The sequence below is a fragment of the Homo sapiens genome, chromosome 15 (assembly GCF_000001405.40).
Source record: "Homo sapiens chromosome 15, GRCh38.p14 Primary Assembly".
Classification (NCBI taxonomy): Eukaryota; Metazoa; Chordata; class Mammalia; order Primates; family Hominidae; genus Homo; species Homo sapiens.
This window is the reverse complement of record NC_000015.10, coordinates 52,904,704-52,930,341: the sequence shown is the minus strand read 5'-3', so window position 1 is coordinate 52,930,341 and position 25,638 is coordinate 52,904,704. Positions and strand designations below refer to the sequence as shown.

At 38.7% G+C, this 25,638-nt stretch overlaps 1 long non-coding RNA gene across 6 annotated transcripts in view; it reads right to left on the bottom strand.

Moving 5' to 3' along the window:
* The window catches only part of LOC107983981 (uncharacterized), a 417,903-nt gene that overhangs the window by 291,313 nt on the left and 100,952 nt on the right, over positions 1–25,638 (bottom strand). For all 6 annotated transcript variants that reach the window (XR_004837530.2, XR_932257.3, XR_004837531.2 and 3 more), the window contains one exon: positions 13,903–13,970. This is a non-coding gene — a long non-coding RNA (uncharacterized LOC107983981). The remainder of the gene's footprint in view (positions 1–13,902; positions 13,971–25,638) is intronic.

Below are 25,638 nucleotides of genomic sequence, written 5' to 3'. Positions count from 1 at the left end.
AAGGATGTGAAACACTTGTACACTGAAAACTATAATACATTGATGAAAGAAATTTAAAAAGAGACAAAGAAATGGAAAAAAAATCTCATGTTCATAGATTGGAAGAATTAATATTGTAAAAACATCCAAAGCAATCTACAGATTCAATTATATTCCCAAGAGAATCCCAATGGCATTTCTTACAGAAACAGAAAAAGAAAATCCTAAAATTCATATGAAAAAACAAAAGGCCCAGAATAACCAACATAATCAAAGCTGGAGGCATCATATTTCCGGACTTAAAGACATATTACAAAGCTACAGTAATTCAAACAGCAGGGTACTGGCATAAATACAGACATACAGACCAATGAAACAGAATAGAGAGTCCAGAAATAAATCCATGCATATACTGTCAACTGATGTTCAATAAAAAATACATGACGGAGGAAAATGACTCTTTAACAAATGGTGATGGAATAACTGTATCCCAGAGGCAAAAGGATGAAATTGGATCCCTCCTTAACTTGTACTATACACAACAATCAACTCAAAATAGGTTAAAGACTTAAATGTAAACCTGAAACGATAAAACTTTTAGAAGAAAAAATACAGGAAAAGCTTCATGAAATTGGTCTTGGCAATGATTTTTTGAAAATGATACCAAAAACACAGACAACAAAAGCAAAAACAGACAAATGGGCACAACAGCAAACTAAAACTCTTCTTCCCAGTAAAAATAAATTAATCAATAAATAAACTAAGTGAAAAGGCAACCCATGGAATGGGAGAAAATACATATACCTAATAAGGGGTAATTCTCAAAATACATAAAGAACTCCTCCTACAACTCAATAGCAAAATAATAATAATAACCTAACTAAAAAGTAGGAAATTGACTTGAATAAATATTTCTCCAAAGAAGACATACAAATGTCCAATAGATACATGGAAAAGTGTCAACACCATTAATTATCAGGGAAATGGAAATCAAAACCACAATGAGATATCACTGCACACATGTTAAGATGGCTATTATCAAAAAAACAAAAGATAACAAGTGTTGGCAAGAATGTGGAAAAATTGGAATCCTTGTACTTTGTCAGAGGGAATGGAAAATGGTGCAACCACTATAGAACTACCGTATGATCCAGCAATCCCACTTCTGTGTATGTATCCAAACGAAATGAAATCAGTATATCAAAGAGATATCTGCAATCCCATGTTCACTGCAACATTATTCAGAATACCCAAGGTGTGAAAACAACTCTAATGTTCACCAACAGACAAATGGATAAAGAAAATGTAGTATACACATATAATGAAATATTATTCAGCCTTAAAAAGGGAGGAAGTCCTACCATTTGCAGCCACATGGATAGACCTGGAAAACATTATGCAAAGTGAGATAAGTCTATTACAGAAGGACAAATACTGCATGATTCCACTTATATGAGGTATCTAAAATAGTCAAACTTATAGAAGCTGAAAATAGAGTGATGGTTTCCAGGGAATAGGGTGAAGGTGAAATGGGAAGTCATTCAATTGGTACAAAGTTACAGTTGTACAAAATAAATAAATTCTAGATATCTACTGTACGACATAGTGCCTGCAGTTAACAATATAATGTTGTGCACTTAAAAATTTGCTAAGAGGTAGAGCTCATGTTAAATTCTTGCTCATATCACAAAAAAGTATTGGGACACAAAGTAACTTTTGGAGATGACAGATATGTTTACTACCTTGATTACGGTGATGATAGCCCAGGTATATGCACATATTCAAATTCATAAAATTGTATACATTAAATATATATCCAGTTTTGTATATCAATTAACACCTCAATAAAGCTACAAAAAAAGATGGTGTTTTCTGCCTATTCAGCCTGTAAGGTTTTTTAATAATTATACTCAATATCAATGATGGTATAGCAAAATAAATATTTTTATACAATGTTACTGAAAAACTAATGTTGCCTTTCTGGAGGGTGATTTAGCAATCTATAAGTATTCATATTTTTATATAATAATATCCTTATTAATTTATTCTAAGGAAATAATTGGGGATTTGCAAAAATATTTATTTATAGCAATGTTTGTTTACTATAGTGTTCTTTATGTTTGAAACACCCTAAATGGAAACACCTATAGTGTTATTTATATTGGAAACACCTAAAATTAACAATAAAGGAAGGCTAAGCAAATGGTGACAGTCATACTATGCAATCATTGAATATATTTAATTATGGCAGACTGTACTTTGCAAAAATGACTGCAGCAACATTTCTGGCCCATGTGCCCTTCCAAAGCCTTGCCATTTCCCATTTGTAGCAGGCTAACTAATAGCTCATATTTAGAGAGACGTTTGAAGATGCAAGGCTGCTGGCCTTAAAGATGGGAGAATGAGGCCACAAGCCAAGAACTGAGGGCAGCCTCTAGAAGCTGGAAAAGCAAGGAAATGGATTCCTCTCTCAAGCCTCCAGAGGAGGCAGCCCTGCCAACACTTTGATTTGGCCCAGTAAAACCCATTTCAGATTTCTAACCTTCAAAACTGTAAGATAATAAATCCCTGTTGCTTTAAATTTGTAGTAATATGTTAGATCAGTGATAGGAAACTAACACAGTACTTGAGAGGTCCATGTCTCAAAGGGAGACATATGTCTCCCCTTGAAACTGGGTGGGCTTTTGAGACTGCCTTGGTGAACAGCATGTGGTAAGGAAACGCTATGTGACTTCCAAGACTAGGTCACCACATAAAAGGTGAGTTGGCATCAGCCTGGCCTTTCTTTACAGACATGCACTTTTGGACCTGGGCTGTCATGTAAGGAACATGGCCATCCTGAAGCCACCATGCAGGAGAGAGCACATCACAGAAAGAAATGTCCAAAAGCTTAGCTGTTCCAACTTTCTGCTGTTTAAGCTTTTCCAGACTAGACAGCAGACCTGTGAGTAAGCAACCTTCAGATAACCAGCCCAAGCTACCACCTGATTGCAACTGCATGAAAGGCTCTGAGCAAGAACTACTTAGCTGAGCCTAGTTAACTTCCAGAACCATGACAGACAATGAAACCATGATTCTATTGTTCTATGCCATTAGGTTTCGGGGTGGTTTATTGAGCATCAATAGGTAACCAATACATTAATGATAAAGAGAAATGCTCAGAATATAATACCTAGTTCAAAAGTACAGAAAACCAAATCCTGCATGTTCTCACTTATAAGTGGGAGCTAAATGAGAACACATTAACACATAGAGGCGAACAACAGACATTGGGGCCTGTCAGACAGTGGAGGTTGGGAGGAGAGAGGGGATCAAGAAAAATAACTAATGGGTCGCTAGCCTGCTGCTTTGTGAGCGCCAGACCTGCCTTTAGTTTTCATGGACAAACAACCAGCACTGGGTGTGTCGTGCCCCACCTTGAAATGGTGGGGTATAGAGTGCGGGATCTACACGGCAGACTTGTGAGTAAGCAGCCTTCAGATAACCAGCCCAAGCTACCACCTGACTGCAACTGCATGAAAGGCTCTGAGCAAGAACTACTTAGCTGAGCCTAGTTAACTTCCAGAACCATGACAGACAATGAAAACATGATTCTGTTGTTCTATGCCATTAGGTTTTGGGGTGGAAAGTGACAATACCTGAGTGGTGAAATAATCTGTACAACAAACCACCAGGACACAAGTTTACCTATGTAACAACCCTGTACATGTATCCCTGAACTTAAAATAAAAGTTAAAAGAAAAACAACAAAATTTGTAAGTAGGCTACAAGCTAAAGTGTGTGTGTGTGTGTGTGTGTGTGTGTGTATGTGTGTGTGCATACAGAAAAAACTTGGAGTCACCAATATGCATTTAGTGGTTATCTCTGTGTCCTGGGTGAAGACATTAATATCTTTATAGTTTTCTATATGTCCAAACAAATACTTGTCTATACAATAAACAAGCATTACTTTTGTAACCAGGGAAAAATATTTTTAAGCTCTTTAAATACCATTACTTCTAAATCTATCACAAGTGTAGAAAACATGTGAGCACATCCTGTGTGTGAACACATGTATGTGCATCTCCAAGATAAAATCAAGAGGGGAAGGGGCTACTTGATTAATCTGAGCAAGAACATGAACCTTTAAACCCTGCTTTTATTCTTCCTTTTCCTACAGAGGAGATGGCAGCAAATACCTTCTAATGTGAAGTCCAATTCCTAATCCTTTTAGCCACTCCCAATTCAACTATAATTGACTGATGCAACTAGGCTTGGATTCTGTTCTGTGACACAGATAAGAGATTATCTATAGCTTCTCCTGGACAGAGGAATGTCAGCCACTCCTTTTAGAATTACCCCCTTTCTCTGTGCAGAGTGCCTAAAAAGCACCCCATTTTTGCTGTCTCCCATCAGTATCTCAGAAAGATGAGTCCCCGGAGAAGGGTCGGAGGTGAGATGACAGAATGGAAAGGAGGTGGAGATCCTTGGTCCTAGGATGCTACAGTGCCCCATTTAATTCTCATGGAAACCCTTTGGGGCATAATTAACAATCCCCTTTTTACAAATGAGAGCATTTAGGCTCAGAAAGATTAAGCAATTTACTCACGTCAAAGAGCAAGTAACTGGCACAGCTAAACTTCTAATACAAAGTTTCTTATCATGGTAAAACTACACCTCTTTTCCTTCACCTCAATTTCCTAGTACCTACTTCAGAGTTGTAGTGTGTGTTAAATTATTGAGTATACATATCAAATCTTATCATTTCATATTATGCAGAACAATGGCTCCCACGTGAGCACCCTATATTAGTGTTAGCTGTCATTTGAGTTGTTATGAATCAAGGTCATACAGAGAGCACAGGTAGGCACTAGAGGCTGTCAACTGTCCTCCCTGCAGAGATCCAGCACTCTGCACCCCACCATTTCAAGGTGGGGCACGACCTACCCAGTGCTGGTTGTTTATCCATGAAAACTAAAGCCGGGTCTGGCGCTCACAAAGCAGCAGCCTAGCGACCCACCCCAGACACACATTCTCCTTGCTCTTTTTCAAAAAGCACAATAGCTCTCACACAGTCCAAGGACTATCATTAAAAGTCAGCCTCTCCGGAACGTGGGGATTCTGGTGGCGCTGACAAGTGACGGTGGGAGGAGGGGCTCCCCCAGCTCCCCCCCCCCGCCCCCCCACCCCCGCCAACACAAACTGGCTGTTTCTATAAAATAAATGAGGAAGGAAATGGTGTTGCATTGGGATCTGCCTTCTAAATGCACTGAAAACTGAGGCTCCTGTCTTTTGGCATTTCCTAAAAGGCCTCTGGAGCTTTCCTTGCCAAGCCTCGATATTGAGGGTAGTTTTAGCTGTTTAAGCCTTCCTCTTCTAACAGGGGTCAAAGGGCTGGAAAGATCTTCTCAAAAGGATAGAGAAGGAATCATTAAAAGGGAGGAGAAGGAAAGTGACAGAAGGTCAGCCTCTTTTTTCCTAATGGGTGCGTCCCTGAGGGGTCAGGCCCAGTGGCCATGCGCTGCACAGGCACCTGGCTTCCGAAAACCTGCAGCAATTTGATTAACACTGCCCTGAGAGGGAGACCAGAGGAAGCTCTAAGGAGCAGCCCAGGGAGGGTGTGGGGAAGAGAGAAAACACAGTAGAAATCTGATTGTGATAAGTAAATTTCATTGATCGCATTAACATAAAACGATAGTGTTTCAGTAAACCAGAGAGAGCAAGCACTTGAAATCGTTGCGTTTTGAGTCTGTCATAAAGCTTATTTCCTTCACATATAAATTTGACCCAAAAATGTGACATTGCATAGCAAGAAGCTTTGTATAAGGACTGGTTTGGTATTAAAATTCATCTTTGCATGCAATGCAAGCACACAAATAGTGAAGGTTTTCACTGATTTTTAGTCAACAAGCAATAAACTGCATTTGCACCCACACACCTACTCCTAACACCCCATCTGGTAACATTTCCACGTTTCAAGGAAAGAAATCAATAGCAATAATCTGTGAGGGACTCATAGGGTGTATATTTTTTTATCACACTGCCATTTTAAAAAAATTTTCACCTATCTACTTAAAGCAAAATTTTGTTATTTTTGTATGTTCACATGAAAATCTCGACATTATTACTGGGGGAAAAGGATTAGAGGAGAAAGGGAGATAAGTCAATTAAAACAAATGTGGGAAAATATGTTCAAAACATGTTTTTAACAATACAGGTTCTATTTGAACAACTCAAGCAATAATCAATACACAAGCTGAAAAATCCCCAGTCAACCCACATATTCAAAATTATATTTTGACTCTGTTTCTATGGAAAGAACAGCTAAAATGCACGTGGATGTCACTTCTCAAAGGAAAAAGCCATTCTGCTTTCAACTTGCAGTGCAGGGAGAAGACACCATCCCCGAACCCTGAAATTTAGAACTATGTCATTGCTGATTTTCTGTGCAAGAAGGAAATATGATTCTTTGTTACTGCTCTTATTTATTGCAGACCTTGTCTGGAATCTGGTATTGAAGGCATGCTTGATGAGTTGCCGCCTTGAACTTTCCCACTGATCAATGCCAGCGCTGCTGCTGCATGAAAGAATAGCTTTCCCGAGGAGCCACTATCACATGGAAACCAGCTACCCAGCACGCTTTTTGAAAAATGGGCAAGAGCCTTGTATGCTTAAGCTTCGAAACATGTTCCCACCCCCACCCCCAAAAACTGGCAAATGGTGACTGACCATCTAAAAATTGGAATGTTACAAGAGCAAGAGGTAAGGTCAAAAGCAGAAATCCTCCTTTCTGTAAAATGATCAGACACCATAGGATGAAAACATGCGGGGAAAAGGAAAGCTAATGTGAAGTGAGAGGACAGGAATCATATTTCTTCTCAGCAGGGTGACAAATAAAAAGTTGCCTTTCCTTTTCTGTGCAAATAAACTTTACTTTAGGAATTGTGGCAGTGGTTTGGTCTCCCATAAAATAGGTTTTATCTGCTGCAGTGACAACCTAAGGCAGGGAGGGGTTAGAGGCAGGTTAATTGCCATCGTTTCCATTATTTTTGTCAATATTTTTGTTATTTTGTGGAGAGATTGCAGGGGAAGTCTAGACCAATGCTATCAGGAATGGGGCTAAGAGAAAGGGTTTAATCCAATTCTTGGGCAGTTCGTGTGGAAAGTATGTGTCACTGGAGTAAGCTGGGACAAAAATCCTCAAATATACCCAGGTCGGTCTCTGTAAAAACCCCAGGCTGTCCACACCCTCTACACTTTAGAGGCTTCCCTGAATGGGATGCCCGTGATGAAAACATCCACCAGGAAGAAAGTGGCCTTTGAAAAAGACGTACAATAAGCCGTCCATGGCTGTTGAAAGCCAGTGCTTTCTGGAGGGCCATAACCAACCACCAAAACCTATGAGCAATCGGACCCTCAAACCATGAAACTCCGTCTATCTTAAGAAATGAAACAAGAACAAGATCTGAGCTTCAGTAGGTTAACCTAACTACCTTCACCCACTGTCCATCTTCCTGGGCTTTTCCCAGGCAATAAGTACTTTAACTAATCACTAATCCTGGCTGGGCGTGGTGGCTCATGTCTGTAGTTCCAGCACTTCGGGAGGCCAAGGCAGGAGGGTGGCTTGAGCCCAGGAGTTCAAGACCAGCCTGGGCAACATAGGGAGACCCCCATCTCTACAAAAAAAATAAAAATTAGCTAGGTATGGCGGCATCCACCTGCAGTCCTAGCTACTCAGAAGGCTGAGGCAAGAGGATTTTTTGAGCCTGGGAGGTCTAGGCTGCAGTGAGCTATGATTGTACTACTGCACTCCAGCCTAAGTGGTTGAACAAGACCTTATTTCTAAAAAATAATTAAATAATAAATAGACAAAAATAAAAAATATTACTAATCCCATTGTGAGCCACTTCCATGCCTTATGTATTTTGTCTCCCTCCTCCAGACACTCCTGACACTTGCTGTGTCCTACGGTCATGATTTGTGGGTATGCTGCTCCTTCCTTTCTAGACTTCCAGCTGCTCCATCTATATCTTTTCCCTCTTTGTATCTGCTGTGGCTCCCAGCTCTGAGCTTCATACAGAGTAGACACTCAAACGTTTGTTGAATGACTGATTGAATGAATGAATATAAAGGGCCTCATCCCTAAGTATTACTATCAAAAAGTCACAGCACTATAAAGACACATGCCCATGTTTGTTTATTATATCACTATTTACAATAGCAAAGACTTGGAACCAACGAAAATGCCCATCAGTGATAGATTGGATAAAGAAAATGTGGTACATATACACCATGGAATACTATGCAGCCATGAAAAGAATGGGATCATGTCCTTTGCAGGAACATGAATGAAGCTGGAAGCCATCATTCTCAGCAAAGTAACACAGGAACAGAAAAACCAAATACCGCATGTTCTCACTTGTAAGTGGGAGTTGAACATTGAGAACACATGGACACAGAGAGGGGAAAAACACACGCCAGAGCCTGTTGGGGGTGGGGATTGAGGGGAGGGAACTTAGAGGACAGGTCAATACATGAAGCAAATCACCATGCACACGTATACCTATGTAACAAACCTGCACATTCTGAACATGTATCCTGTTTTTTTTTTTTTAGAAGAAGAAATAAAATAAGAAAAAAATAGTCAGAGCAGAAAATTTCCTCCAGCTCCCATTCCTATTCCAGACTTTCTGGCCCATCTCTAGGCCTCTAGACACACTCAGGCAGGCAGCACCCTGCAAGAGACATTTTGGATTTCTGTCCCTATTCACTAAAACCAGCCAGAAGCTTCTTGCTCCTCCACTCTGCCTGGCTCTTCCTCAAGCTCTGTTTTTCTGAACTTGGAATAATATTGCCACAGCTGCCACAGCTACTAGACCCAAATGGATGGTTAAATTGTGTGGCTCTGTGCTTACCCTGAGCACAATTTTGTACTTACCTTCCAGCTCCCTCCACATCTAGCTGCCACCTCCCCACCTCCCCTGGAATTACGTTCCCCCTAGATGCAGTTCAGGCAGCAGCCCCCTTGACTGATGCTTCCCAGGTCAGATCTGGTCCTGTGCAGCATACAGTGCCTACCACAACCAGAGCCTTCATTTATACCCACAGGCTCAATCCTAGTCAGCAATCGTAGTCCCTAGCCACACCAGCCACCATGGACCAGTGAAGCTTACAGCCACTGTCAGAGAGAACTGCTATATATATCCCAATTCTTACTCCAAGGCTGGGAAGGCAGGTGCTCTGGGAGCAAAGGTAGGGAGTCATAAGTTACAAGAAGATCATGTCCTATTTTTCTTGCAAAGTCACCATAATCAGCATTTGCTGAAGTGGTAAGACTTGGCACCTGCCCATGTGGTACCCAGAACTGAAGAGAATGCATCCATGATGCAATCCCTGACTTCAATGCATAACACCTGTGCATAGTTTGTTCTTGTGTTTGCAAAGTTCCATCAGGCACATTTCCACATTTAATCCAAAGCCCGAAGAGGCAGGTAGGACAGCTCTAGTTGTAGTCCCCTGTTACCCTTGAGAATATGAGGTACTTCCCAGAGAGCACCATACATTACACACACATATTTTTATATGCACATGCTTAGACTGAGACCAACATATATTTGCCAAAAGTAGAATATCTCAATAAATACTGTTGAATGAACAAACTTGTTGGATGTGTTCTCAGGTTCAGACTGAGGCAGTTAGCCCATTTCATGCTAAGCCATTGAAACCTCAGAGCAAGTAATCAAGGATTGCTGCTCCCTCCATGCCAGGGATTCTCAGCAGCAGGGGCAATTTTGCCCCTCACCCAGACCTCCAGGGATATTTGACAATGTCTGGAGAGGCATTTTTGGTTGTCACAACCAAGGGAAATGCTATTGGCATCTAGTGGGTCGAGGCCAGAGATGCTGGTAAACATCCCACAATGCACAAGACAGTCCCTCACACCCACCACAAAGAATCATCCTGCCCAAAATGGCAGTCATGTGGAGGTAGAGAAGCCCTGCTCTATACTCTGCATTTGAGCAGCCACCTCTAATGGACTGCAGTTTATTAGAGGTCCCCATCAATGCACAAAAGAAGGATCCAGGCCATCCTTAGAAAGTATCCTGAAATCTGTGAATGGTATCTTTTTACCCCCAGGTTATGTTGTCTTTATCCTCTCTCCTATCTCCAGAGACACAAAAGGTGGCACACATTAGTCCCTTTCCTTTCCAAAACAAAGTAGCCAAACGACTATGCAGACAGTCTTCAATGCCTGATCCGTGGAGTAGAGGAGAGCCTCAAAAAAGGCTCCTAGGAAAGAAGAGTGGCAGCCCAGGGTCTTCCTGGAAAGGGAAATGCACTCCCTCCCTCCCACAAACTTCCCCTGGCCCTGCAAAAAAAGCATTCTCGTTCCAGACAGATCTACTTTCTAAGCTTTGGAAGACAAAGTCAATTCATAAAGAATAGAAGATACTGTGATTGAGGCCGTTCCCTATCAATGAATAAATGTGAATCCATTCATGAAGACACAGAGTGATTCTCACTTCATCCTTCCACCCTTATGACCATAGCACACTGTCCTGGAAAGCAATTGCTCACATCCTCACACCTTCTCCTGACCACCCTCTATAAGCCCCAGTTTCCAGGAGCAAGGTGCCTATGGACCCAACCCAGGGAGAGTTCAAGCAAATAGACAAATGATATCCTGAACAAGAGGGACAGTAACAGAAAAAACAGGCCAAAATTTTTTTTAATTGACAGATAATAATTTTACATATTTATGAGGCACACAGCGATGTTTTGATACAGAAAATGAATGGTGATCAGTTTAAGGTAATTAGTATATCCATCATCTCAAACATCAGTCGTTTCTTTGTGTTGGGAATATTCAATATCCTCCTTCTAGCTATTTGAAAATATGTAATATATCACTGTTAACTATAGTCATCCTTCTGTGGTATGGAACACGAGAACTTTTCCTATCTAGCTGTAATTTTGTATCCTTTAACAAATCTCTCCCAAACCTCCCTTCTCCCTACCCTTCCCAGCCTCCAGTAGCCTCTGTTCTACTTTTTACTTCTATGAGATCAACATTTTCAGTTTTCACATATGAGTGAAAATATGTGGTGCTTAACTGTCTGTTCCTGGCTTATTTCACTTAGCATAATGTCCTCTAGTTCCATCCATGTTGCCACAGATGGCAAGATTTCATACTTTTTATAGCTGAATAGTATTCCATGGTGTATATATGCCACATTTTCATTTATTCATTCATCTGTTGCTGGACACCTAGGTTGATTCCATATACTGGCTATTGTAAATAGCACTGCAATAAACATGGGGGTCCTGTTATCTCTCTAATATACTGATTTCCTTTCCTTTGGATAAGTTCCCAGTGGTGGTATTGCTGCATCATATGGTACTTGTATTCATAGTTTTCTGAAAGACCTCCATACCGTTCTCCACAGTAGCTATACTAGTTTACATTCCCACCAACGGTGTCCGAGTCCCTTTTCTCTGCATTTGTTGGTTTTTGTCTTTTTGATAATAGAAGAGGAAGGATATTTAGCTTTCTTTCACCTCCCACTTCAGGGGTACAGTGCACTTTTACCCCTCCACATCAATTCAGACCCATCCAATACCAATCATTCACTGTTTAGTATAATAAATGTCCAAGTCCACTTGAAACTACTGGGAGCTAATTCCAGAAGCTATCTTCTTCAGCCTTACCGAGTGCTATTTTACCAGTGGCTAATATTTATTGGACACGTCTCATATACTAGATTATTGGCACTTCACAACTTTAACTTCAGTTAAATCTCTCAGTTATCTTAAGAGGTAAAATTATTATGCTGATTAGCCACATTTTACAGATAAGGAAAGTGAAGCACAAAACATTTAAGTAACTTTCCCAGCTAGTAAGTAACTAAGACAAGATTTCCATCCAGGCAATCTGGATCCAAAGTCTGAGCTTTTAACTGCTCTGCTATTTGGCTTTAAGCTGTATCTTACCCAGAAGTACTGAAGCAAGAGTACTCTAACCAGGGATCAGTGTAGCATATTATGTGTGGGCTGTAAGCCTACTTTTTCTGATCTATAAAATGGGAATAATTAAAGGACCCACCTTATGGTCATCATGCGCAATAAATTAAATAATACATGAAACACTTATCCCGGGTCCTGGCACAAAAGCTCATTAGAAATGTCAGCCATTATTATAATTCTTGTTATTATCATCATCACAAAGCTGATGAGCGGTGGAGTCAGAAAGCAAACTCAGTTTTCTCCAGCTTCAAAGTCTAAACTCAAGAACTATCAACAGAGAAAAAAGAAATCTTTCAAAAATTAGCTTAACTATTTAGAAAACTGAGCTTCTTCTGTATTAAAGATAACTGCCCAACACACAAAATATTTGATACCTCACAATAATTTGATGGCCTTACTTTTTCTAATACTAAACTGGGCTTCATGAGCTCCTAGCTTATAACTCAGGTAAAAAGATTGCCCGCACTTTAAGACCTCAAAGAAAGGATGATAATGACTACATAAGTCTGTGCTAAATTTAAAGCTAACATTGGAGGCTTATGGTCTGAACATTATGTGACTTTGGTCCTGAGCCAAAGAATCATTAAGCCTTAGCGCTTAACCAAAGGGACTTCCAGAGGTCACACAGCCATCCCTCTGTATCCACAGGAACAGAAGCTCGCTTTACTTCACTCAGCAACTTGGCACCTACTGATAATAGAAAGCATTACACTGCAGCTTAATGCCTTTTCAGAACATGTGGAAAAGATAAATAGAAATTATAATCCTTAAGAAACTAATTGCCATTTATATAAATGAAGCTATTTCAAATTCAATTCTTACATCTTAATATAATTCCTTATTTTTTCTTTTTTGTTTTTAGAGATAAGGTCTCACTCTGGAGTGTAGTTGTGTGATCATAGCTCTCTGCAGCCTCAAATGCCGGGGCTCAAGTGATCTTTCTGCCTTAGCCTTCCAAGTAGCTAAGACTACAGGCATGTGCCATCACACTCAGCTAACTTTTTTTTTTCTTTTTTCTTTCTTTCTTTTTTTTTTTTTTTTTTTTTTTTTTGTAGAGATGGAGTCAAACTCTCAAGCATTTGAGTTCGGCCTAACCCAGACTGGTCTCAAACGCCTGGCCTCAAGTGATCCTCCTGCTTTGGCCTCCCAAAGTGCTAGGATTACAGTCGTGAGTTAGTGTACTCTAATTCTTGTATTTTTCTGGTCATTCTTCTACTACAGTTTTCCAGTTCTTAAAGCAATCAAACTTGTTACAGGTTTAGTACAGTGTCACTGCAGTGAGAAATCTCAGCGTGCCTAACACAGGATTTGGCACACAATAAATGATCACTAAAGAAATGGTGATGGCCATGACACCTGGCAGCTCATTTAAAGTCAGACTTTGAAGATAATTCCCTGTCCTCCTCATTTGAGCTAATAAGGAACACCCACCTCAAGTTGATAATGGGTTCTTGAAACACTTCTACATGACAATTAAAATCTTATTAGCAGTTATCATGATCTGAACTTTGTTTTACACTTATATATAGCAGGCCACCCCGAAGAAGCCTATCTGCCATTTGAATCTTCACTGCACACCGTTTGCTGAGCTACCGTGTTGTATTAATTACATGATCTTTGTAGTTAGATCATGGAGTTGTTCAACCTTCTTGGCCATGTTCAGTGTACAACCTGCACAGCTGTACACAATGGCTCTGATCTTACAGTCCAGGAAACATTTTAGCAAAAGCAGTCAAGTATTTTCTGAGAAGAGCCCAGTTGTATTTTTCTGAACCACTTGGGCAAAAAGTAGAGAAATTATTTTCGGTAAAATTCCTAATAGACATGGAAAAGTGAAAGCGAATCCCAGCAAATCTCAAAGAAGATGATGCAGTGGAAACCATGAGTTAAGAGCCCTACCAGTTTCAGCATGTAATTCACCTGTAATTCTAATATTCTGCGTGGGAGCTCTCTCCTGGGACCATGTCCTGGCGGCAGCACTTCTGGTCCTGAAAAACACAAAGTGATGTTCTTTAAAGCTCAAAAAGCATATACATGTTTTTGTTGGAAAGTGGTCCAAGCAAACAGCTTTCACTTCTTCCTCTTACCTTCACCCTATAATTTGGCAAATGCAAATTCTATGTCTTTCCTTGTGTACACTTCTACCATCAACACCAATTAACTTATAAGAGCTTCCATTTTTCAAGTTCTTTAATTTAATTGTGTAATTGCAAATGTCTTAAAACAGCAACACTTCTGTTACACCTCTTTATGTCTAGAGAATGATTTCCAGTTGAATTAGGTGTGTCTCTTCTGAATGCCTAATTTAGGTGTAATGTTCTAACTAGAAAATCAAAACAACAGGAAGGTTTTGATTTTTAGAAATTTTATATTTTAATATGTATGACTACTTGTTGCTACCTAAGTTGGGATTTGTTCCTAAAAACCATTTTCTATCCAAATAGCTCATTGAATTTTATAAATATATTAGGTTGTAAAGTTTAAACATCCCTGAGAGGTTTATTTAATCCAGTAACTTGTCTTCACTCAAGTAAATCACCTAAATAGATGAGATCTTCTGCTCCTTAGCTCTCTTGCTTTAAAAAAGTGAAGGCATTGCGTCTAGAGCACTTCTAGGAATCTGACTGGATGGGGGACCAAAGAAAGACAAGATACGGAGGAAAGCTGAAGACCAAGACGGTTGGGCTTTTGTTTTAGAGGTGGGAGAAACATGAGTGTGCTGGAACTTGAGAGAAAAAAGCCAACAAAGCTAGAGAGATTGCAGGCACAAGAAAGAGAATAACCACTAGAGTGAGTCCCTGAGGAGGCGACAGGGACAGAAACCAGGAAACGGTAGAAGAATTAGTTTTATACAGGAGAAGAAATGCTTTACCTGGTGGCATTTTGTTGTTGTGTAGTGAGAAGCTGAAGGAGTTCTGAAAAGTTGCTCTCTGTTTCCTCTGACTACACTATTATCTTAGGTTAAATCATCATAAAGTAGAGAAAATTCTTGGGTTTAAATTACCTCTAGAAACCATTTTAATCTTTGTACCGTATCTCACTTAACCCTAACCAGCAGGGCACATTCTCTTCTTCCACAATTATGCATTAGTATTCATTTGCAAATATTTTTCCTAATTGCTCATAACATATCAAAAAATCTTATGTTCTCTGGGATTTTATTAAAGAGAAATTTGCAAGCCATTAGTATTTTTAATTGCTGCACTTTCAATATAGATGTGAACATTTTTTGCTTTAGTGGAAAGGTTGAGTTGATATGATTCAAAGCAGTAACCACATCTCTATGGTTCCTAAAACAATTGAACTAGAACAAAACCAGAACTTCAGAACAGTCTCTATCACTGTCCTGAAACTGCTCCCTTGAAAGTGCATTCACTCCCTTCTTGTCAAACCCAAAACGTTTTCACTTGACCCTTGTCAGATGTCATTTTTAATTCAATTTCACAAGCATTACTTAAGCATAGATGGTGTGCCAAAAAAATGTGATTCAATGGTGAAAAGTGGTGAATAAGACACAGCCCAAAGCCAAAAATGACTTACAAAATAACAGTTCAATACACACACACTGACACAGACACACACACAGACACACACACACACACACACACACCACTAACTATAATATAATGTAATAAGTGCCATACATAGTTTGAACAAAGGGCTGGGGAACCAAGGGGAGAAAACAATGTATTCTGCCCAAGGAAGATCTGAAAAGCCACAACAGAGAGAAGGATTGTCTTGGGCTTGAAGTATGAGTAGGTGTCTGAGATATCAGCTGTTGTGCAGTCATCATAGCTTTGCCTCCTTCACCAGCAATTCCTCCTCCGCTTCCTAAGAGTATCACTCCCCACTCTGCCAACCCAAGTTCTCACTTTTTCCTTCTCCTTTATATACACTTGCTCCCTCAGTCAGCTCATGTCGTCTCATTGCTTTTCATTATCAATTGTCTGATGATGATGTCAGCCCAGCATTCCTCCTGTGGTCTTTCCCCCTACATAGAACATTTCTACTTGTAAGATGCACCATCACGCAGAACTCAGTAGTCTCAGAACTGACCTCACTCTCTTGGCTATGGCAGGGCTTCTGAGCTCTCTTCCTGGGTGAACATGCTTTCCAAGATCACTGAATCCCACAAGGATCTCTCCCTTCCCCAAATCTATCACCTTGCAATACCTGTGCAGTTTAAACTTTTATTGCATACTGCCTCCAACTGTTCTACCAGCTCATGTAACTCCTCTCCAACTAGACAACAAATTCCTTTGATTAAGAAACTTCTCACCCCCTTCTCCCATACTTTCCCCATTGCCTTAGAGACTAATCAAGAAAAGCTAAAGTATGCCATGAGAGCTCCTTCTCAGCCACTCTGTGCTCATGGCAGACCTCATCAATTAGGTACAAAAGTCAAATTTGTCTCACAATCTTTTCAACACAGCATTTCAGGCAACTACTTCCAATCCAATGGAAATGGCTTCCAGGTTAAAACCTACCACCTGATACCTTAATAGACACAAACTTGCTCTTTAATCCATATTTGTTGATTGGTTGAATTTTGACCTTAAAAAGATGGCCATAAAATTCTTAAAAACATTTGGTGCAGGCCAGGCGTGGTGGCTTGTGGCTCATGCCTGTAATCCCAGCACTTTGAGAGGCTGAGGCAGGTGGATTGCCTGAGCTCAGGAGTTCGAGATCAGCCTGGACAACATGGTGAAACCCCATCTCTACTAAAAATACAAAAATTAGCCAGGCATGGTGGTGTGCGCCTGTAGTCCCAGCTACTCAGGAGACTGAGACAGGAGAATTGCTTGAACCCTGGAGGCGGAGGTTGCAGTGAGCTGAGATTGCACCACTACACTCCAGCATGGCAACAGAGCGAGACTCCGTCTCAAAAAAAAAATTGGTTCTATATTTGGTGCTATGTAGAATGGGGCATGTAGTTTCATCAATAATATGTACTGAATTCCAATTTACACTTAAGATGTAGAAAGCTGGGGGAAACATTTCCCCATCCCCTTACAATGAGGGTAATTCCAGATATTGTTCAATAATTTGAGTCATAATTATTTATATTATTAAAATCAAATTATTTCAAACTGTATTGTTTAGAATAACTCGAGTTATAATTTTTATTGAACCCATGAGAGAGCTGAGGTTGCAGGGCAAATTGGTAGCCTGAAGTCTAAGGTAAGACAAGTGCCTCCGAGAAGAAACAGGACATGACCACTGATTTACCTGGAACAGACATTGAGTATTATATAAGCTGGTAAGAAGAATTCACCTAAAATTTTTAACAAATTGCTAAAGGCTGAGAGTAAGCAACCACAGAACTCGTGGAAGCTACAGACACAAAGGAAGTCAACACCAACCACAAGTTCTTCACAGACCTCACAGGGTGCTCACAAAAATGAATGGAAGTGGAGTGGGAAACCAGAGAAACCACTCTCAGTGGTGGAGACCTGGAAAAGGGGAGCAGTTGCCACTGCAAGAAAGGCATGAAGTCCTGCCCAGAGTCTTTTCCCATATTTTGCCAATGAAGCAAAAACTTTAAGCTGCTGGAGAAAGGGCAACAAGCTCAGTCACTCTCCAGCACAGGTGAATACCCACTGCAGCTGGAAGAAAGGAAGGAAAAAACGTGTATCTCTGGGAGACAGGAAGAAAATATTGCAAGCCCAAGCCATTAGAAACCCCTAACATTGAAAGGCCTAGGCCTACTCCAAAGGCCTCACCTACAAGGTTCAGACTGGCTGAGACTGTGGACAAACCATGAAAGCAGAAAACATTACCCATTCCACCTCCCCAACACCAGGCTAGCGAGAATCAAGTAGCAAACAACAGCAGAGAAGCAAGAACATGAAGAGAAACTCTCTGAAGTAAAGATTCACAGGGAAAGCCTAAAGCTGAGGATAAACAGAAAGCACAGGGAAAAAAACTCCAGAAGCCTAGCCCCACCTAAATGCAAATTAATGCTACAGGAATTTGAAGACTATGGTTCACTGAGAGTAACCATAGCAACCACAAAACCCTGATCAACTCCTGATTCCTGATTCAACTAGCTCACTAACACATGCATACACACACACACAAACACACATTAAAGGTCTGAAAATAAAAGAGGGTGCCCATTGTGGCCATTCATATATTTTCTCAGGCCTTTAATGTCCTAAAGATACCCAGCTTTCACACAAAAATTATGAGACACATGAAGAACCAGAAAGGAAAAAAAAAAACCAGAAAAACGTTTATGAGAAACTTAAGCAAGAAAAAGCCACTAACAGAATTGGTTCAGATATGACCCAGATATTGGAACTATCTGATATGAAATTCTAAATAATTACATTTAATGTTTTAAAGGCTCAAGTGTAAAAGGTGGACAGCATACATGAACAGATGGGGAATTCAGCAGGAAAGGACTACCAACCAGTATTCCTCAGTAAAATAGATACCAAAATTCTCAACAACATTCTATCAAATTGAATTTATCAATATGTAAAAAGAGGAATAGATCATGACCAAATAGAATGTATCTCAGGGAATGGAAAGCTGATTCAACATTTGAAAATCAGTCAATGTAATTTATCATGTCAACAAATCAAAGAAGGAAAACCATGCACTCATCTCATTAGATACAGAAAAAAACCTTTAAAAAAATCCAACACCCGTTCCTGATTTAAAAAAAAAAAAACTAAGAAAACCAGAAATAGAAGAGAACTTCTACAACCTGATAAATGGTATCTTAAAAAAAACTCTACAGCTAACATCATACTTAATGGTAAATGACTAAATTAAGATTGAGACTAAAGCAAGATTGTCAATTCTCGCTATTCATATTTAATATCATACTGGAATCCTAGCCAGTATAACAAAACAAGAGAAAGAAATAAAAACATACATATTACAAAAGGGAAAAATAAAACTCTCTCCTCACAGACAACATGATTGTCAATGTAGATGAACCCCAAAGAATCTGCCAGAAAGCTATTAGACATTTTGGTTGCTTACAAGTTTTGATAATTATAAATAATGCTGCTATAAACATCTGTGTGCAGGTTTTTGTGTGGATGTAAGTTTTCAGCTCCTTTCAGCAAATACCAAGCATAATTGCTGGATCATATGGTAAGAGTACGCTTAGTTTTGTAAGAAACTGCCGAACTATCTTCCAAAATAGCTGTGCCATTTTTGCATTCCCACCAGGAATTAATCAACAAATGAGAGTTCAGCAATGAATCCTTGCCAGCATTGGTGCTATAAGTGTTCTGAATTTTGGCCATCCTAGTAGGCATGTGGTGGCATTTTATGGTTATTTTAATCTGTATTTTCCAAATGACGTATGATATGGAGCACCTTTTTACTTGCTTAATAGCCATCTGTATATCTTCTTTGGGGAGGTGTCTGTCAAGTTATTTGGCTCATTTTTTAATTGAGTTGTTTGGTTTTTTAATGTTGAGTTTTAAAAATTATTTGTATATTCTGGATAACAGTATTTTATCAAATTTATCTTTTACATATATTTTCTCCCAGTCTACTGCTTGTTTTCTCATTCTCTTAACATTCTCCTTCACAGAGTATAAGTTTTTGATTTTAATAAATTTTAGCTTGTCAATTATTTATTTCATGAATCATGCCTTTGGTGTTTTATCTAAAATGACATCACCATACCCAAGATCATCTAGTTTTTCTCTTATGTTATTTCCTAGGATTTTTATAGTTTTGTATCTTACTATTAAGTAAGTATCACACTGTCCTGATTACTGTACCTTTACAGTAAGTCTTGAAGTTGGGTAGTGTTGGTCTTCAAACTTTGTTTTTCTCCTTCAATACTGATTTCACTATTCTAGGCCTTCTGCATCTCCATATAAACTTTAGAATCAGTTTGTCAATATCCATAAAGTGACTTGCTAGAATTTTGATTAGGACTGTACTTAATCTATAGATCGAGTTGGGAATAACTGACATCTTGACAATAATGAGTCTTCCTATCCATGAACATGAAATATTTCTTTATTTATTTAGTTCTTCTTTTATTTCTTTATTAGCGTTTTGTCATTTTCCTCAAACAGATCTTGCACATATTTTGTTAGATTTAAACCTAAGTACTTCATTTTGCGGGTGGTCGTGTAAATGATATTGTGGTTTTTTATTCCACATTTCACTTGTTCATTGCTGAATATAGAAAAGCATTTGACTTTTATACACATCTTTAACCTTGCAGTCTGCAATTTTGCTGTAATCATATTACTTCTAGGAGGTTTTTTTGTTGTTGATTCTTTCAGGTGCCTTTCACTCAATTTTGCTGTGAACTCAAAATTGCCCTAAAAAATCTTTTTAAAATTTTTAAATTAAAAAATAAAGCTACTAGAACTAATAAGTGAGTTGAGCAAGATCAGTATACAAAAAAAAGCTATTGATTTCTGTAAAATATTAAAGAGCCATTAAAAATCAAAATTTTAGACGCAATATCACTTCAAATAGCACCAAAAACATGAAATACTTAAGTATACATCTCAAAAATCTGTGCAAGATCTGTACACTGAAAACTGCAGAGCACTGATAAAAGAAATAAAAAGAGACTTAAATAAATGGAGAGATATACTGTATTTATGGATTTAAAAATCATAATATTGTTAAGATGTTAATTCTTCTCAAACTGATCTCTAGATTCAACACACATTCAATAAAAATCTCAGTAGGGTATTTGGTAAAAATTGGCAAGCTAGTTCTAAAATTTAAATGGAAAGACAAAGGAACTAGAATGGACAAAATAATTTTGAAAAACAAAAAAGAGCATAATGTTGGAAGACTCACACTACCTGATTTTAAGATATATGATAAAGCTATAGTAATCAAGGTAGTGTAGTACTGATGGAAGGATAAACACATAGATCACTGGAACAGAATTAAGAATCTACAAATATATGGGCAATTGATTATTAACAATGATGCAAAGGCAATACAATGGAGAAAAAGTAATCTTTTTGACAAATGGTGCTGGACAGTTTGGATACTCATACACAAAATGTAAACCACAATCCACATTTACACCCCGTATAAAAATTAATTCAAAATTAATCAGGCCTAAATATGGACCTAAAACTATAAAACTTCTGGGGAAAAAAACAAGAGAGAAGATCTTTGTGAACTTGGGTTAGGCTAAGATTTCTTAGATACAACACCAAAAGCACAATCCATAAGATAAAAAGATTGATAAACTGAACATATTAAAAATCAAGTATTTTGATTCTTCTAAAGATACGTGGTGAGAATGAAACAAGTCACAGACTGGGAGAAAATACTTGCAAATTACATATCTGATCTAGGACTTGTATACAGCACATATAAAAGTATCAAACAACAGCAATAAGAAAGCAATTAAAATAAAACGTCAATAAAAAGGTTTAAACAATAAGCCAAAAAAAATATGGGTAGCAAATAAGCACATTAAAGATGCTCAGCATCATTAGTCATAAGGGAGATGCAAATAAAATCACAATGAAATACCATTACATGCCTATCAGAATAACTAAAAAGAAAAAGAAAAGAAAAGAATTCTAATTGATAATGCCAAGTACTGGTAAGGATTCAGAATAACTGGAACTCATACATTGCTGGTACAAATGCAAAAGGAAGCAACCATTTTGGAAACCAGTTTGGCAGTTTCTTATAAAGTTAAACATACCTTACCTTACCATATGACTTAGCAATTCAACTCCATTTCATCTATCCATTTGATATCATAATATGTAGTCACTCAAAAACCTGTACTTGAATAGTTATAGCTGCTTTGTTTATTTTTTTTATTATACTTTAAGTTCTGGGGTACATGTGCACAACATGCAGGTTCGTTACATAGGTATACATGTGCCATGTTGGTTTGCTGCACCCATCAACTCATCATTTACATTAGGTATTTCTCTGAATGCTATCCCTTCCCCAGCATCCCACCCTCCAACAGACCCTGGTGTGTGACATTCCCCTCCCTGTGTCCATGTGTTCTCATTGTTCAACTCCCACTTGTGAGTGAGAACATGCGGTGTTTGGTTTTCTGTCCTTGTGATATTTTGCTGAGAACGATGGTTTCCAGCTTCATCCATGTCCCTGGAAAGGACATGAACTCATCCTTTTTTATGGCTGCATAATATTCCATGGTTTATATGTGCCACATTTTCTTTTTTTTAATTATACTTTAAGTTTTAGGGTACATGTGCACATTGTGCAGGTTAGCTACATATGTATACATGTGCCATGCTGGTGCGCTGCACCCACTAACTCGTCATCTAGCATTAGGTATATCTCCCAATGCTATCCCTCCCCCCTCCCCCGACCCCACCACAGTCCCCAGAGTGTGATATTCCCCTTCCTGTGTCCATGTGATCTCATTGTTCAATTCCCACCTATGAGTGAGAATATGCGGTGTTTGGTTTTTTGTTCTTGCGATAGTTTACTGAGAATGATGATTTCCAATTTCATCCATGTCCCTACAAAGGACATGAACTCATCATTTTTTATGGCTGCATAGTATTCCATGGTGTATATGTGCCACATTTTCTTAATCCAGTCTATCATTGTTGGACATTTGGGTTGGTTCCAAGTCTTTGCTATTGTGAATAATGCCGCAGTAAACATACGTGTGCATGTGTCTTTATAGCAGCATGATTTATAGTCCTTTGGGTATATACCCAGTAATGGGATGGCTGGGTCAAATGGTATTTCCAGTTCTAGATCCCTGAGGAATCGCCACACTGACTTCCACAATGGTTGAACTATTTTACAGTCCCACCAACAGTGTAAAAGTGTTCCTATTTCTCCACATCCTCTCCAGCACCTCTTGTTTCCTGACTTTTTAATGATTGCCATTCTAACTGGTGTGAGATGGTATCTCATTGTGGTTTTGATTTGCATTTCTCTGATGGCCAGTGATAATGAGCATTTTTTCATGTGTTTTTTGGCTGCATAAATGTCTTCTTTTGAGAAGTGTCTGTTCATGTCCTTTGCCCACTTTTTGATGGGGTTGTTTGTTTTTTTCTTGTAAATTTGTTTGAGTTCATTGTAGATTCTGGATATTAGCCCTTTGTCAGATGAGTAGGTTGTGAAAATTTTCTCCCATTCTGTAGGTTGCCTGTTCACTCTGATGGTAGTTTCTTTTGCTGTGCAGAAGCTCTTTAGTTTAATTAGATCCCATTTGTCAATTTTGTCTTTTGTTGCCATTGCTTTTGGTGTTTTGGACATGAAGTCCTTGCCCATGCCTATGTCCTGAATGGTAATGCCTAGGTTTTCTTCTAGGGTTTTTATGGTTTTAGGTCTAACGTTTAAATCTTTAATCCATCTTGAATTGATTTTTGTATAAGGTGTAAGGAAGGGATCCAGTTTCAGCTTTCTACGTATGGCTAGCCAGTTTTCCCAGCACCATTTATTAAATAGGGAATCCTTTCCCCATTGCTTGTTATTGTCAGGTTTGTCAAAGATCAGATCGTTGTAGATGTGTGGTGTTATTTCTGAGGCCTCTGTTCTGTTCCATTGATCTATATCTCTGTTTTGGTACCAGTACCATGCTGTTTTGGTTACAGTAATCTTGTAGTTAGTTTGAAGTCAGGTAGTGTGATGCCTCCAGCTTTGTTCTTTTAGCTTAGGATTGTCTTGGCTATATGGACTCTTTTTGGGTTCCATGTGAAATTTAAAGTAGTTTTCTCCAATTCTGTGAAGAAAGTCAATGGTAGTTTGATGGGGATAGTATTGAATCTATAAATTACTTTGGGCAGTATGGCCATTTTCACTATATTGATTCTTCCTATCCATGAGCATGGAATGTTCTTCCATTTGTTTGTATCCTCTTTTATTTCCTTGAGCAGTGGTTTGTAGTTCTCCTTGAAAATGTCCTTCACATCCTTTGTAAGTTGGATTCCTAGGTATTTTATTCTCTTTGAAGCAATTGTGAATGGGAGTTCACTCATGATTTGGCTCTCTGTTTGTCTGTTGTTGGTGTATAAGAATGCTTGTGATTTTTGTACATTGATTTTTGTATCCTGAGAATTTGCTGAAGTTCCTTATCAGCTTAGGGAGATTTTGGGCTGAGACTATGGGGTTTTCTAAATATACAATCATGTCATCTGCAAACAGAGACAATTTGACTTCCTCTTTTCCTAATTGAATACTCTTTATTTCTTTCTCTTGCCTGATTGCCCTGGCCAGAACTTCCAATACTATGTTGAATAGGAGTGGTGAGAGTGGGCATCCTTGTCTTGTGCTGGTTTTCAAAGGGAATGCGTCCAGTTTTTGCCCATTCAGTATGACATTGGCTGTGGGTTTGTCATAAATAGCTCTTATTATTTTGAGATACATTCCATCAATACCTAGTTTATTGAGAGTTTTCAGCATGAAGGGCTGTTGAATTTTGTCAAAGGCCTTTTCTGCATCTATTGAGATAATCATGAGGTTTTTGTCGTTGGTTCTGTTTCTATGCTGGATTATGTTTATTGATTTTCATATGTTGAACCAGCCTTGCATCCCAGGGATGAAGCAGACTTTATCGTGGTGGATAAGCTTTTTGATGTGCTGCTAGATTCGGTTTGCCAGTATTTCATTCAGAATTTTTGCATCGATGTTCATCAGGGATATTGGCCTAAAATTCTCTTTTTTTTGTTGTGTCTCTGCCAGGCTTTGTTATCAGGATGATGCTGGCCTAACAAAATGAGTTAGGGAGGATTCCCTCTTTTTCTTTTGATTGGAATAGTTTGAGAAGAAATGGTACCAGTTCTTCTTTGTACCTCTGGTAGAATTCAGCTCTGAATCCATCTAGTCCTGGACTTTTTTTTGGTCGGTAGGCTATTAATTATTGCCTCAATTTCAGAACCTCTTATTGGTCTATTCAGAGATTCAACTTCTTCCTGGTTTAGTCTTGGGAGGGTGTGTGTCCAGGAATTTATCCATTTCTTATAGATTTTCTAGTTTATTTGCATAGAGGTGTTTATAGTATTCTCTGATGGTAGTTTATATTTCTGTGGCATCGGTGGTGATATCCCCTTTTTCATTTTTTATTGCATCTATTTGATTCTCCTCTCTTTTCTTCTTTATTAGTCTTGCTAGTGGTCTATTAATTTTGTTGATCTTTTCAAAAAACCAGCTCCTGGATTCATTGATTTTTTGAAGGGTTTTTTGTTTTTCTATCTCCTTCATTTCTCCTCTGATCTTAGTTATTTCTTGCCTTCTGCTAGCTTTTGAATTTGTTTGCGCTTGCTTCTCTAGTTCTTTTAATTGTGATGTTAGGGTGTCGATTTTAGATCTTTCCTGCTTTCCCTTGTTGGCATTTAGTGCTATAAATTTCCCTCTACCCCCTGCTTTAAATGTGTCCCAGAGATTCTGGTATGTTGTGTCTTTGTTCTTATTGGTTTCAAATAACATCTTTATTTCTGCCTTCATTTCGTTACTTACCCAGTAGTCATTCAAGAGCAGGTTGTTCAGTTTCCATGTAGTTGTGCAGTTTTGAGTGAGATTAGTAATCCTGAGTTCTAATTTGATCTGAGAGACAGTTTGCTGCGATTTCTGTTCGTTTACATTTCCTGAGGAGTGTTTTACTTCCAATTATGTTGTCAATTTTAGAATTGCAATCTCTGCTTTTTTTTGCTTTCCATTTGCTTGGTAGATCTTCCTCCATCCCTTTATTTTGAG